Source organism: Homo sapiens, chromosome 4 (genome assembly GCF_000001405.40).
Source record: "Homo sapiens chromosome 4, GRCh38.p14 Primary Assembly".
Lineage (NCBI taxonomy): Eukaryota > Metazoa > Chordata > Mammalia > Primates > Hominidae > Homo > Homo sapiens.
Window position 1 is genome coordinate 158144532 of NC_000004.12, and position 17121 is coordinate 158161652.

General features: G+C 36.5%; 1 protein-coding gene across 6 annotated transcripts in view; it reads right to left on the bottom strand.

Moving 5' to 3' along the window:
- The window catches only part of GASK1B (golgi associated kinase 1B), a 48552-nt gene that overhangs the window by 20058 nt on the left and 11373 nt on the right, over positions 1-17121 (bottom strand). For 4 of the 6 annotated variants that reach the window (XM_024454079.2, NM_001128424.2, NM_016613.7 and 1 more), the window contains exon 3: positions 11080-11294. In XM_024454079.2, the coding sequence (XP_024309847.1) occupies positions 11080-11294 (215 nt within the window). The remainder of the gene's footprint in view (positions 1-11079; positions 11295-17121) is intronic. The other 2 variants (NM_001031700.3, XM_047415765.1) reach the window with 1 other exon arrangement.

Here is a 17121-nt window from a genome sequence, read left to right on the forward strand (position 1 = left end):
CATTCCCATATCCTTTACCTTAGTAAGTGATTCCTTGTGACCAAGTGAACCACTCTAATTACCTCCATAAAAAGAAATTGAGAAGATGTCTCAAAAACAATAAAAAGCAGAAATACATTGTTCTCAAAACCCTCTGATTCTTGACAGTTTTTGCTTCCTAGATCCACCAGTTCAGCATGCTACCCAATACTGACAACTAATCCCAGACTTTCTTTGCTACTTGAAGCCAAGGCAACATCCAACTACATCATCTCTCGCTGTTTGCTTGAAAACAAATGTGAAACTATTTCATTCGTTTGCTTGAACTTACCAATAAATACATGGCTAGAGGTCATTTAGTTTGGCAGTATTCTGATTCAGCAAAGCAATAAAACCAACCCAAACTATTTGAAATCCCAATGTCCAGGACCCTGGAGCACCATGTCTCTTGCTGTCATAGCACCTGACTGTGAGTGTGTTTCCTCACTCGCCTCTGAAAGCTGGCGGCAAGACCCTTGACCATCAAACAGGAGAAAAATCCTCATCATCTATCAAGGGGGCCATAGTTGGAATCTTTCTCTGTTATGCACATAGAATGTTCCTGCAGAAACAAAGATCTTTCCATGAACAGTAATAAGTTCCCTCTTGTTTCAACAATGATTGGTTGGAATTTTTATTCTTACTTTTATCACACCATTAAGTGGGAAAAAAATAATGCACAGAATCAAAAATAGGAGAAAGCAGGACAAAGATGAACACCTCTTAATCTAATTCATTAGATTCAGGAAATAATTCTTTAGAAGTCAGGTAAGAATTAGGAGGACAGAGTTAAGTTAAAAGAGACAAATCTAGGAGGCAAGGCATACCAACTCATATTCTTGTTGTCTATTGAATTTATGAATATAAGTTTATTGCAGCCATCTGAAAGAAAACCACCTTTAGGGAACAGGATATTTCTGTAAGCACCATTTCTACCACTCAATGAACTTTTTCATACCCTCAACCCTTTGCTAAAATTCCTCTTTCTTATAGACTCTCTTCCCGTCTCTTGTACTCACCTAATTTCTGCAGGTTTTTCCATTTCTAGATTACATGTCACATTTTCTGTCTACACTCTCAAAATTTCTTTCTATAAAATATTACTTTTAATTATGGCACCTGCTATATTCTGCTGTGATTATCTGTCCCTTGTACTAGATTGTATAACTCCTGAGGGCTGGAAAATGGTCTCATTCATCTTTTATTACCAGCACTAAACCTACTCAGTGTCTGCAGCAGATAAGAGCTCAGAAAAGTCTGCTACAATCAAGTGAAAAGAAATACATGCAGCCTTTTTTTGACAGTAGAAAAAGATATCTCCCAAGACATATCTTTGTTGGTCCTCCTCTATGTTAACACCCATTAATTTATCATTAAATAAACAGTTATTCTTAGAAATGTAAGTATATGAAGAAGCCATCAAACACTGAAAATATTAAATATTTTTTATTTGTTTGATTCTTTTATTTTCTAAACTTCTAATTCTCTTCCTTTAACAAAACTAAATATACGTGTATTGTGAGAGCACTTTATATATTTTACTTTCAACATTGTTAATCTGATACTTTAGACTTACTATTTTAATATAACTAGTTGTTTTTTTTTTTCAATAAACCATGCCCTGTGTAAGTGTGACATTTCCAGACACTCTGCTGCTGATAGAATTGTTACAAAGTTGAAAAAGACAGGGACTTGCCCTTGAGAAATTTATAGTTTGTCAAGACAGACTAGTCAAAAATAATTAAAACTTAATAGGCGAAGGCCTATAATATAAGTACGAAAGTCCAAATGAAATTATTTGGGAGTGGCTTATAATTTAATAAATAAAAATAATGATAAAATAATATAGTTTATTTAATTCTTACTTATTTCTATGCTCATTTCTGGATGATCAGTTGCTTAATTCATAAGTAATACTTATTGAGTGCCTACCATGTACTAGGCATCATTCTAAATGCTTTATGTATATAAAAATATTTAATCATCTCAATAGCTCTCTATATACGCACCATTATTATTCCTATTTTACAGATGAGGACACCAATGCAGAGAGAGGTTCAAGCAACTTCTTCAGGTTAAATCAGTAGTAGCAGAAATGGGACTGAAATGTAACTGACTGCAGAGTCCCAGTTCCTAACACAATACAATACAGTGACACAATACAGTGTCTCTTTGGTCAAAAAGCAAGTTTTCTACCTCCTGAATGTGCTCCTGTTATTTTATATAATCTTTTGAGAGAAGTTTGACCAAATCTTGGAGACTCAAACACTCTCTAGAATACTTCTCTTTGTCATCCTAATGGAGGTGAATTTTTGTCTAGGCAGTTTATACCCCCACGTTTCAAGAATAAAAGATTATTTGTGCTTCTCTCACATTTTACAGACCCAGTAAAATGGCATAGCCTTTGTGAATGTAGATCTGTTAACTGGGTGAAACAAAAAGAATGCTGTGTACAGAAAATTAACAACTGGGTTCTGTATTCCCTTGCTCTGGCTCTGGCATCATAGAGCAAGTGATTTTAGTTTGCTTCAGGCATAACTTTTCTAAGATTGCTCACAAATATCCATCCAATACATTCCTAAATACCATTTAAATGAAGCATTTATTCTGATTTAAAATAAAATTTTCAGTGTAATTGATGAGAAAGAGTGTATAGATAATAATAACTATTTACTATGGCATTCACGAAAAATGGCCTAAGTTTGTCCATTTATTTATTTATTTATTCAATACACTTTTTTGATTGATATTGTTCTATAAGCATTTTATGGCCAGGCACGGTGACTCATGCCTGTAATCCCAACACTTTGAGAGGACAAGGCAAGAACATCACTTGAGCTCCAGAGTTTGGTAAGACCAGCCTGGGCCACATAGTGAGACTCCGTCTCTATTGAAAATCAAAAAGTTAGCCAGGCATGGTGGTGCATACCCATAGTCCCAGCTACTCAGGAGGCTGAGGCAAGATGATCACTTGAGCTGGGAGACTGAGGCTGCAGTGAGCTATGATCATGTCAACACACTTCAGCCTAGGCAACAGAGCAAGACTCTGTGACTCTGTCCCAAAAAAAAAAAAAAATTAAATTTAAATTAAAAAAAAACTTGTATGATGGTGAATACAGGAAGTAAAAGAATCAAGATATGATTTTATTAAAAACAAGTAAAACTCCTCTGGAGTAAGATCTACTGTAAGCCAAGTCAAAAGAAGAACAACAAAGTAAGAAAAATTATTTAAGACATAGGATTGACAAACGTTAATTTTCTTGATATACAAAAACATTTTACCAATCAATAAGAAAAAGCTACAGAATGCAATAAAAAAGCACAATGATTTGAATGAGCAATTCACAGAAAGTAAAATATAAATAATCAATAAATATTTGAAAATAGAGGCTGGGTGTGGTGGCTCAAGCCCAGCATTTTGGGAGGCTGAGGTGGGTGGATCGCTTGAGCCCAGGAGTTTGAAACCAGACTGGGCACGATAATGAGACCTGTCTCTAAAAAAATTTTTTGAATGTTTTAAAAAGTGTGGTGGCATATGCCTGTTGTCCCAGTTACTCAGGAGGCTGAGGTGGAAGGATCACTTGAGCCCAAGAGTCTGAGGTTGCAGTGAGTTATGATCACACCACTGCACTCCAGCCTGGGGAACAGAGCGAGACCCTGTCTCTATTTTAAAAAAGGGAAAGAAAATATAATATCCTCAATATCACTCAAAATGAAAAACTGAAAAATATAAATAACACCCCATCAACATCTACAAGATTAGCAAAAATATTAGTTTGCTTTCCACTTCCCACAGTTGGTAAGAGAAAAGGAAAGAGGTAATTTCATACCTTACTATTGAATTTGTAAAATGCCACAACACCTACAAGAAATTAGCCTCTTACATTTTGCACTGTGGGAAATAAATAAATATTGAATGAACAAAATACATAAGTCCACTCTCTCAATTGCTATCCCTGAATATATAATTTGACAAACAGTATTACTTTTGTAAATACTAACCAAATTAACTTCTAATAATCAGATTAACTTCTGATTTTAGCTTTGTGCTTTAGCCATAGCTAAAATCCAGAGCTCCAATCTTGGTGTTATAATTTGAGTAAATTCTAGTAAAGTCTTGCAGAGACCTCAACCTTATGGAGCATCAAAAAAGAGAAAGGCCCTCCCACCCCAGGCAGAGGGGGCAAGAGATTTGAAATATTTATTTTTGTTGAAAACTCCTAATAGTGATTTCACATGTTCAGATTCGTCCTCAAGACCACAGACAATAGGCAAGATAATGATTAAAGCTGCAGATGCACTCAGAAGAAGACTGGGGATCAGCTGGAATTTGTTCTTGCTCAGTCAGGAACATGTATGAATAGTAGAAAGTTACAAAGTAAACAGACATTTTGGAGAAATATCTCTCTTCCTCTATGTTGAGGAATCATATCTCTTAGAGGCAGCAAGCATTACTACTCCCCTCAAAGAACTCTCTGCTTCAAATGGTATATTTAGAATGCCCTGAATGTTATAAGAACAGTACCAATCTTATATTCTTACTCATGCTTTTCCCTATCCTCTCTATCATTGACAGCCTACAATCCTACTCAAACTCTTCCTCCACTATTTTATGGCAAAGTGCTCTTCTCTTTTGACCTCATAAAAATTAGACCTTATATTATGTCATCCAGCAATCCTTGGATCTATCATTCGTTTCATGCACTATATTTTCTTAATGAAATAGTTTTTAAAAAACTTAGAGTGGGACAGTGAGGATAATCACATTGTACTACTTTGCTACCATTGTGGTTGTTTTCTTCACTATAACACACAATAGATGTTGCATAAATGGAGCTTCCCTCAATAGAAAAGAAAATGATAAAGGCAGTAGGGTAGAATGAGATTTAGTTGACAGGTTCAGAATTAAAATACATGTCACTAGAGAACATAAGGGTTTGCTCTCTATTCACAATAGGTTAGCTCTTATGTTTATCAGCTTCAAACCTCAAGGTCCATTCTCATAGACTTCACTGGCAGGTTCAAAATTTACTTTCCATTGTCCTAATCATTCTCAGGTACTTCAGTATCTCTGCTTACCACTCCCCAAACATTTGACCTCATAGTGAGAACTTTTACCTACTTCACTCTAGGTACTTTCATTCATTCTCCACTTTATTACTATTACATTTTATCATATTGACTTGTTTCATTAATCCAAGGATAACTTGGTAGTAGTTATACAACTATGGCTAAAAATATGGAATCCACCATCAGCCAGATTTGATGATACCTCTGTTTAGGAACTTACTAACTATGTAACATTGGACAAGTTAGATAACTGTTGAGAGACAATTCTTCATGGCAACATCTTAGATTTTGTTCTGCATGCTGCTTTTTTTTTTTTTTTTTTTGAGACGGAGTCTCACTCTGTCGCCCAGTTTGGAGTGCAGTGGCGCGATCTCGGCTCACTGCAAGCTCCGCCTCCCCAGGTTCACGCCATTCTCCTGCCTCAGCCTCCCAAGTAACTGGCACCACAGGCGTCCACCACCATGCCCGGCTAATTTTTTGTATTTTTAGTAGAGACGGGGTTTCACCGTGTTAACCAGGATGGTCTCGATCTCCTGACCTCGTGATCTGCCCGCCTCGGCCTCCCAAAGTGCTGGGATTACAGGCGTAAGCCACCGCGCTCGGCCTCTGCATGTATTTTTAAGAGTGTTAGCACACCAGAGAATATCTCCCTCTGAGATGAAGGGCAGATTTGTTTCCTGACAAAGATAATAAAGATAATGTATCCATCTGAGGCAAATATTGGGCAGGTTAACTAGCAGCCCCTTAGAGAATGGGGGGTTTCCTAAGCTTAGAGTCTCTCAGCAGTGACATAAACACACTATCTGAAGCATTCACCAAGGCCACTCTATCACCCCAATAGAACTTGAGAGGCAAGGGAGCATAAAACTGATGCCACCTACTATATCATAAGTAATAAAGTCATTTGTCTCTGACCCAGGAGTCTCATATCTTCTGCTAATGTCTATCAACCTGTGGCAGACTACCTTGTTAACTTCCAAGTAAAGTAAAATCCCAGACTCTTCATAGTTCTTGATAATAACTTCTCTGAGCTTCAGTCCTACCTATAAAATGGAGAAAGGATGCCTACTTCACAGAACTAGTACATTAATAAAATGGAATAATGAGATAATGCATATATAATGCTTAAAACCAGTTACAGCCCCATAGCAGGACTCTTGAACACTCTTTAAGGAGGCAGAACTTGGTGGCTGCTGACCACCTCCTTGCCAAGTCAAATGTCTTACTCCCCAGTTCAGTCCTTGCTGGTGTCTCTGCACCACTGACATCAGAGATCCTTCTCTCCTCCATCAAAGTTCCTATTTCGTAGACTGTGACTCTGTGCTAAACTGGTTTTCTTCCTACATTTTTGTCCCTCTGCAATTTCTTCCTCCTACTCACACTCATAAAATAATGAACTAACAAAAGGATAATGTTTCCCAAATGTTCTAAGGCCATCCTAAATTTCCACAAGATACTAGTTAACAATGCAACAACGGAAAAGTTTTTTTCTAAAATGGGCGAAGGGAAAGGGAGTAATCAGAATAAGGGGGTGGAGAAAGTCCTGAGATATTTATCAAAGGGAGAAAAGAGTCATAAGAAAGCCTTATAAAATGTGAGGAGTCACACAATTATGTAGATGATCAATATTTATTATTCTCTAATGCAGAATCTTCATGAAAAATTTGCGATAAATTTAACTGGAAAGAAAATAAGGAAAATAAGTTACATGGCCAACTGACCATTGAAACACAGTATGGAATGTTGGAAAGAAGACACTTTACCATCAACAGATCCCAACAAATCCCAGCTCCAGCCTTCAGTGGTTGTAAGAACTTGAGTGAGATACTTAACCTCATCAAACCTCAGTTTACTCACCTCCCAAATGGGGTAAGACTATTCCTCATACCTCAATAAATGGTAGCTATGATGAGTATGATTATTGCAGGATAATGTGAACCAAAAATAAAATTCTAAGCCCCCAACCAACTGAATTGACCTCTAAGCCTGGGGCAATCTACAACCAATACCACAGTAACAGAAAAGATCATTCAAGGCTACTATGAACACCTTTACACGCAAAACTACAAAACCTAGAGGAGATGGACAAATTCCTGGATATATACAACCCTCCTAGATTGAACTAGGAAGAAATACAAACTCTGAACAGACCAATAACAAGCAGTAGTATTCAAATGGTAATTGTGATGGTTAATGTTGAATGTCAACTTGATTGGATTGAAAGATGCAAAGTATTGTTCCTGAGTGTGTCTGTGAGGGTGTTGCCAAAGAGATTAACATTTGAGTCAGTGGACTGGGAGAGGCAGACCCACCCTCAATCTGGGTGGGCACCGTCTAATTAGCTGCCAGCACAGCTAGAATAAAGCAGGCAAAAAAGGTGGAAGGAGCTGACTTGCTGAATCTTCCAGTCTTCATCTTTCTCCCATGCTGGATGGTTCCTGCCCTCAAATATCAGATTCCAAGATCTTCAGCTTTTGGAGTCTTGGACTTACACCAGTGGTTTGCCAGGGTCTCTCAGGCCTTTGGCCACAGACTGAATGCTGCACTGTCGACTTCCTTGCTTTTGAGATTTGGGGACTTGGACTGGCTTCCTTGTTCCTCAGCTTGCAGGCGGCCTACTGTGGGACTTCACCTTGTGATTGTGTGAGTCAATACTCCTTAATAAACTCTTCATATATACATCAAACGTATTAGTTCTGTCCCTCTAGAGAACCCTAACTAATACAGTAATTAAAAAATTGCTAACAAAAAAGTCCAGAACCAGATGGATTCACAGCTGAATTCTACCAGACATTCAAAGAAGAATTGTAACCAATCCTATGACACTATTCCACTATAAGATAGGGAAAGAAGGAATCATCCCTATATCATTCTATGAAGTCAGTATCACCCCAATAGGAAAACCAGGAAAGGACACAACAAAAAAAAAAGAGGAAACTACAGACCAATATCCCTGATGAGCAAAGATGCAAAAATCCTCAACAAAATACTAGCTAAACCAATCCAGCATACCAAAAAGATAATCCACCATGATCAAGTGGTTTCATACCAGGGATACAAGGATGGTTTAACATATGCAAGCAAGTCAATAAATGAGATACACCACATAAACAGAATTAAAAACAAAAACCACATGATTATCTCAACAGATGCAGAAAAATCATTTGACAAAATCCAGCATCCATTTATGATTAAAACCCACAGCAAAACTGGCATAGAAGGGACGTACCTTAAGGTAATAAAAGCCATCTATGATAAACCCACAGCCAACATTACACTGAATGGGGAAAAGTTAAAAACATTCCCCCTGAAAACTGGAACAAGACAAAGATCCCACTTTCCCCACTTCTATTCAACATAATACTGGAAATCCTAGCCAGAGCAATTAGAAAATAGAAAGAAATAAAGGACATCCAAATCAGTAAAGAGGAAGTCAAACTGTCACTGTTCACTATTATATAATTGTATATCTAGAAAACCCTAAAGACTCCTCCAAAAAACTTCTAGAACTGATAAATGACTTCAGTAAAGCTTCGGGATACAAAATTAATGTACACAAATCAGTAGCTCTGCTATACACCAACAGCAACCAAGCTGAGAATCAAATCAAGAACTTAACCCCTTTTACAATAGCTGCAAAAAATAAAATAAAATACTTAGGAATATGCTTAACCAAGTAGGTAAAAGATCTTTACAAGGAAAACTACAAAACACTGCTGAAAGAAATCATAGGTGACACAAACCAATGGTAACACATCCAATGTGAGTTTGGATGGGTAGACTTAATATTGTGAAAATGACCATCCTGCTAAAAGCAATCTACAAATTCAATGCAATTCCCATCAAAATACCACCATAACTCTTCACAGAACTAGAAAAAAAGACTCCTAAAATTCACATAGAACCAAAACAGAGTCCACACAGTCAAAGCAGGACTAAGCAAAAAGAACAAATCTGGAGCCATCACATTACCTGACTTCAAACTGTACTATAAGGCTATAGTCACCAAAACAATATGATACTGGTATAAAAACAGGCACATAGACCAATGGAACAGAATAGAGGACCCAGAAATAAAGTCAAATACTTACAGCCAACTGATCTTCGACAAAGCAAACAAAAACATAAAGTGGGTAAAGGACACCCTATTCAACAAATGGTGTTGGGATAATTGGCAAGCCACATGTAGAAGAATGAAACTGTATCCTCATCTCTTACCTTATACAAAAATCAACTCAAGATGGATGAAAGACCTAAATATAGAATCTGAAACCATAAAAATTCCAGAAGATAACATCTGAAAAACCTTCCTGGACATCAGCTTAGGCAAAGGCTTCATGACCAAGAACCCAAAAGCAAATTGCAGCAACAACAACAAAAAAGATAAATAGATAGAACTTAATTAAATTAAAAGGCTTCTGCATAGCAAAAGAAATAATCAGCAGAGTAAATTGACCACCCATAGAGTGGGAGAAAATCTTTGCAAACTATGCATGACAAAGGACTAATATCCAGAATCTACAAGCAACTCAAACAAATCAGCAAGAAAAAAAAAAAAAAAAGAAACCATCCCATCAAAAAGTGGGCTAAGGACATGAATAGATAATTCTCATAAGATATACAAATGGTCAACAAACATATGAAAAAATGTTCAACATCATTAATAATCAGGGAAATACAAGTCAAAACCACAATGTGATACCACCTTACTCCTGGAAGAATGGCCATAATACAAAATAACAGATGTTGGCGTGGATGTGGTGAAAAGGGAACACTTTTGCACTGCTGGTGGGAATGTAAACTAGTACAACTACTATGGGAAACAGTGTGAAGATTCCTTAAAGAACTAAAAGTAGATCTACCCTTTGATCCAGCAATCCCACTACTGTGTATCTACCCAGAGGAAAAGAAGTCATTATACAAAAAAGACACTTGCACATGCATGTTTATAGCAGCACAATTTGCAATTGCAAAAATATGCAACCAGACCAAATGCCCATCAATCAAGTAGATAAAGAAAATGTGGTATATATATACCATAGAATACTACTGATGCATAAAGAGGTATGAAATAATGGCATTTGCAGCAACCTGGATAAAATTGGAGACCATTATTCTAAGTGAAGTAACTCAGGAATGGAAAACCAAACATCGTATGTTCTCACTCATAAGTGGAAGCTAAGCTATGAGGATGCAAAGGCATAAGAATGATACAATGGACTTTGGGGTCTCAGGGGAAAGAATGGGAGGAGAGTGAGGGATAAAAGACTACACATTGGGTACAGTGTACACTGATCAGTTGATGGGTACACCAAAACCTCAGAAATCACCGCTAAATAATGTACCCATGTAACAAAACACCACCTGTCCCCCCAAAACCTATTGAAATTTAAAAAAATTAAAATTAAAAAATAAAAGTAAACCTGAACACTAGTTCAGGCCATGATGGCAATGGGTGGTTGGGCATGCCTCCTTATACATTCTTCCCTTTGGAATTCAGGCACAGTTGACCGGCATTAACATTAAAACAGAACTTAAGATCGACAAAGCAGATTCTCTTTGTAGCAATAAGATACCAACATGGCAGACAGTGGGCCCTGAAAGAAATCAAAGTATTTTACCCCAAGATGTATTTCTTTGATATATTTTGAAATGGCCCTGCCAAGCTGTCCCTTGTGCGGAAAATCTACATTCTGTAGAGAATCCCCTTCCCTTTCCAGATCTTTTTCCTGCTCCAGGAGAGGTTAAGAGTCTGGTACCTCTTTAAGTCTGATAAGAAACATTTATAATGTATTCTCTCTGAAGCCTGCTACCTGGAGGCCTCATCTACATTTGGCCATTATGGCCAAAACCACAATTACTTTTGCACCAAGCTAATAGAAGTTATCACCAGCTTCATAAAAACTCCAGGTGCTGAACATTCCTTAGTGTCAGGCTAATATAACTCAGCGCCAGTCTTAGATAACTATTTGCTTGATTTGATAAACTTACCTGTAACAAAAAATCAAAGAGTGCCATCTTGGACCACTCATGATGATGTATTTCAGTACAACCCGATTCAGGCTTGGGTACTCGGCCATTCTGCCAGCATTTCTGTTTCAGCAACTGCTGATAAGTTCCCCAGGTGAGCTTAACAGAAGAATGGGTGTCATTACTTGCTGAAGATAAAGATGCATCCCAAAGAATGATGGGGCATGGGCGGCCATCTATAGAATCAGAAAAACAAACACACTTTCAGCACACTATTGACTCAGGGTGTGTCTTTGAGCAGGTCGTTCACTCTTTCACAGTCTCACGCTCACCTATCAAATGTGAGAGTTTAATCTGACAATATTTTATGATCTCTTTGTCTTCTGGTTTTAATACTTTCATACCTCAATGCTTCCTGTTTGAAGTCTCATAAAGCAGAAAGTTATTGTTAGACAATGAAAAAAAATTTAAACGAGATATTTTATAGATGTGGCAGGAATAGGCTACTAAGCACCAATAACAACGTCCTATGGTTAATGTGGTTTTATTCCACATCTAAAAGCAGCCACCACAAAAAGGGAAAGAATCTAGACATTTATAATTGTCTATTCAATGTCTGAGTGGAGCTGCTCTTTATTTGTAATAACAACTGTCTGATTTTCTGAGGCCACATTATGATGTCAGGAAGAAAAAGAATTTTTAGAAGTCGCAAATTTAAAAGTGAAATTGTATGGTTCACACCAATCACTATAATCTCCAAAGACAGAAAAAAAGAGGCAAGAGGTTTTTTTCTTTCCTGATAGAAACTGTGCAAGCACAACAGTGCTCTTGGTAAGGGATCATTTATTCACACATAACCTCAACAAAGTGCATTTAAGCAAATGTCAGTTTTTCAACTGCATGTTCATAGATGATCTTTTTTAACCTGTCACTCAATTTGTTTTGTCTCACTCTTGGAAGTTTAGAAATGTAATTTCTTTAATTGCTAAACTTTACAAAGAATTATGAGCCCCAGTGAAATAATCATAAACAAGGAAGACCATGATCCAGACACATTAAACAACACTTTAAGCTTAAAACCAATAACATCATTCCCAAGCCCCCATTTCTGCCCAATAAAGTCACAAAGAGATGGTGTGGAGCAACTTTGCTTATAACTCAAAAATCAGAATGATGTGCCTGATAAAAACAACTAAATTACAAAGATCCAATAAAGCCCACTTAACTCATTCTTAACACGTCTGAACAACAGAGGCCTCTGAAATTACAACCAGAATGTTCAGACTTGTCACAGGAATTTTTAAAACCTCTCTTAAATAGCCTTACATGTTCTCAATATATAACTTTATGGCCTATTAGAAACTTACATGTTCTCAATATATAACTTTATGGCCTATTAGAAACTTTTATTTTGCCACCTTACTGTCTTGCCATCTTGTAGAATTCTTATCTCCGGTCTTTAACACAGGAAACAGTCCCCCTCTCAAACCACTCCTGAGTTTGGTGTTATACTAACCTTAATAGTTTGAATAGCATTCACTTAAATCATTCTAATCACTTGCATTCTAGTTCTGTTCAAAGAAAAATCTTTCTCCCTTTAGCCTTGCAATGTAGGCCAGGGCATGTGGAAAGTCTATTGGATTATGGAAAATATGCCACAATCATTGATACAAAACTAAGAGAAGAGTAGAGAAAGAAATGTGAGCCATAACAAAAAAGCTTCATTTGTAGCACTCTCTCTCTCCTTCCAATGTCTTTTTACCTTAGTAAATGATTTGGGGTTCCTGGGGCCTAATTATCTTCTTAGATATCAGATAATTTTAAATGTGTATATCCCAAGTACCATGCCAATTTATTTTAAAAGAATAAATTCCAGGTAAAAGCAATCCATCATGCTGTGGAAGACAGCACTGGGCCAGTATAACCAAATACAAATAGAAAACACACACACAGCCTCCAAACGTGTGTACTTCAGGCGTCTAAAAACAAACACCAAGAAGCTCTTTCTATTAGTGTCTTTGAACCAAAGTTATATGCACACAAACAGCACTTTGCATGCTCAGGGCTAGAAAGTAATCAAAGGGAGTTGAAACCTAACAGTGAACTTCAACACAAATCAACACGCGGGTCAGAAGGACAGCAGTTTCCTCAGCAATTCATATAAGGCCTTTGGAGAAATATGGAAATTGATCTACATAAACAATTGAAACCTGCTGGGCTGTTTTTCTTCCCTTTAGAAACATTTGTTTCTAATTGTAAAACTAATTAAAGGTAAATCCACTCATTTCATGAAATATAGAAAAACATAAAAATGTATAGCTAAGAAAATAAAAATCACCTATAACCTCATCTCCCAGTAATTGGTTGTTATTTGTATATTTACTTCCAGTTATTTTTCTATCCCTTTCTTTCTCATCTGAATAGGTAAACTGCTTCTAGAATTTTTTTTAAGGAGTATAACTTATGGTTAGAGCTCAGACTCTGGAATCCAACAAAATCTGGTCACATTATGTCTTCATTTTGTAACGTTAGAGAAGTTATGTAACCTTTTTAAACCTTGTTTTTCTCACCTGTAAAATGAAGCAACAACATACATTCAAAACTGACCTTATCAGGAAGAAATGAGATCGTGCCTCTAAAATTCACAGCATGGTGCCTAACATAAACACATGCCCCAGAAAGGTTTTGCTCTGATGATTATTACATATATACATCACATAATCACATAATTCATCAGGCTTCAACTGACCTTTACCATTTCTTGAGCATTTACTGTGCACTAAGCACTGTTCTAGAACCTGCAGCTACATATATAAACAGATAAATGTCAAGTTTTTTGCTTTCATGGAGCTTACATTTCTACCAGGAGAAAGAGGCAAAAATTATGCAAAGAAAAAAAGCTATTTGGGATCATCTTGTATGTAGAGTTTGTCATAATTATTTCACTAAATATTATACTATAAATATTTTGTTTAATTATTTTTAAATAGTACCACTTTAATTGTAATGCAATAATCTAGCCCAGTGATCAGCAAATTTTATAAAAGGCAGAGAGTAAATATTTTAGGTTTTGAGGGCCTAAAATATCACAACTATTCAACTATGCAACCGTTCAACTCCAGTGTAGCCCAAAAGCAGTCATGGACAATATATAAACAAGTGGTTGTAACTATTCCATTAACATTTTATTGTGTATGGTGAAACTTAAATTTCATATGAGTCTCAAGGGTTATAGCAATATCACTAATCTTTTGATTTTTGTCAATCATTTAAAATTATAGAGACTATTTTTAGTTCACAAAATAAAAATGGGCAGTGGGCCATTTTTGGCCTACAGGCTATACATTAACCCCTAATTTAGTTTATGGGTATGCTGTATGTCAGTCACCATTTCTCTATTTTAGATCACCAAATTTTTGGAATGATACATTTTCTATACTAATCATTAAAAAGGTGTCCTCAAACTGCCAAATAAAGTGTTCAGCTGATAAGTATAATTGGTTTTCAATTAATAGCCTATGTTTTTCTCCCAATTCATCCATTTCCCCTCAGCAAAATATTTTGAATGCCAACTATCGCATAAAGACATTCTTTCCTGCCCTGCTAGAAATCAGTGCACCTCAGGAAAGGGGATTTCCAGAGAACAAGAAGAAAGCATGGTGAGCAGTAAGACAGACTGAGTCACAGATGGCTGTGGTTCCTTTCCACATACAGGCCTTCTTGCTACATATACGTGTGTGTGGCCCTTGCAGGTAATAATAGCAGTCAGCATAACTCCAGATCTCAGAGCAATGAGTACTACTGTTGAGGAGAATTCCACCTCTTTTAATATAAGGCTTTTGAAAGAATTAAATGAACCTGGATGGATTTGAAGAGATGACAGAAAAATTGCCTCTGAAAACAGGAAACTGGTTAAAGCAACTTACCCTGAAGTGTTTCAGAGATGAGAAGCATTCATCTCTCCACATTCAGGTTTGTCAAAATGATGCAGTACTGGACTCTCTAGAGAAATCTCAACAAGTGAAGAGATAAAATTCTGTCACAGTGGTGAGAAAGCGGGTTTTAAAAGATATGTGGGTGTTCATGTGAATTAAAGGTTATATAGCTGTCCTAAAAAATGAGACTTGCCAGGAAAGCTTCTTTTTTTCTGAAATCTGAATATTTCCGCTGAATTTGGTGCTCTCCCAAGTCGTTTTTTATTCAAAAGCACAAAGAAGACATTCTTCTGAGAAGATGAACATGAAAATTCACTTAGAATGAGTGCTTTACACAATCTTCTTTGTCTAGATTTATTAAATGCCCTTCACTTTGAGCACTGGCTGAGCGGTTTTGTGGAATTATAGGTGAATGCTAAGCATGTTGGGTGGAGCTATGAATGTCTGTGAGCATTTGTCACTGAGCAAAAATAAGAAGAAAAGTCTTGAGCTCTGAAATCAAAAGTTCTTTCTCTTGCACGGGCCATGTTCCAAGACTCCTTGTGAACAAGATAAAAAGCAAGTGACAGTCCAGCTCCAGTCCTTCATTAAAAACAACTCTATAATACCCATTGAAGAAAACAAAAGCCAGTCAAACTTGAGTGGCATCTTTGTTATAGGAAACAAATTCTGTTGGGCCCCATCACAACTGTCAACAACGCATTGAAGGAAAACTTTAATGCGAAAAGAAATAAACCTCCATAAGGTTTTCATGATTTTTAAAAACAGTAGGTGGGGAGGTAGGAGTCTGTAGATTACATAGGCATAGATTTTATATGGCCAAACAAGTCCTGAATCTAGGGACTTGTCCTGGAGCAAATTAAAACCACAATAAGATATGACTTCACCCCTGTTAGAAGGGCTATGATCAAAAAGACAAAAAGATTACAAGTGTTGGTGAGGGTTTGGAGAAAAGGGAACCCTTAGCACTGCTGGTTGGAATATGCATTAATACAGCCATGATGGGAAACAGTATGAAAGTTTCTCAGGAAACTAAAAATAGAATTACCATACTATCCAGTAATCCTAATTCTGGGTATCTATCCAAAGGAATTGAAATCAGTATGCCGAAGAGATGTCTGCACTCCCATGTTCACTGCAGCACTACTTATAATAGCTAAGATATGGAAGCAACCTAGGTGTCCATCATCAGAAAATGGATAAGAAAAATGTGTTTTGTTACGTAAACATAATGGAGTACTATTATTCACCCTTTAAAAAGGGAGAAATCCTGTCATTTGTGACAACATGGATGAAACTGGATGACACTATTTTAAGCAAAATAATACAGGCACAGAAAGACAAATACTGCATGACCTCTCTTATATGTGGAATCTAAAAAAGTTGAGCTCAAAAGTAGAGAGTAGAATGGTGGCTACCAGAGGCTGGGAGAGGGGGTTAGATGGGAAAAGTGTTGATCAACAGGTACAAAGTTTCGGTTAGACAGGAGGGATAAGCTTTAGTGATCTATTGCACAGAATGGTGACTATAATAATAATATAACGTATATATCAAAATTACTAAAAGAATATATTTACAATGTTTCACCCAAAAAAAATCATCCTATGATTTGAAGAAGCCTAAAAAATAAATTAGTTAAAATTTAAATTTAAAAAAATAAGTAAGGTGATGGATTTTTAAATTAGCCTAATTTAATAATTCCACATTGTAAACATATATCAAATAATCACATTGTGCCCATAAACATATACAAATATTATTTTTCAACTTAAAATTAAATTAAATAATAAAAAAGAAACAGGTCTCTGCGTGATTCCAAATATGTTTCATATATTTATTTATCTAACTGTTTTTCACTTCATAGTTTGTTTTCTCTAGGCCTAACTGAGTTAAAATAATCTCCATACTTCCTCAGGAGTTAGCTAAGTGTGAAGTCAAGGAAGCAGGAAAGGAGAATGTCTTGTGACTTCATTCATCACCAACTACCTAAACAACTTAAATCGCCAGTTCTCCTCTGAAAACAAGGCATTCTTCTTTGTTCTGACAAATGGGCAGGAACTTCTGCTTTCTAGGTCTGCCCTGAACTTCTGCTGTATAAATGGAAACTCCAAGACTCTTCCTGTCTCAA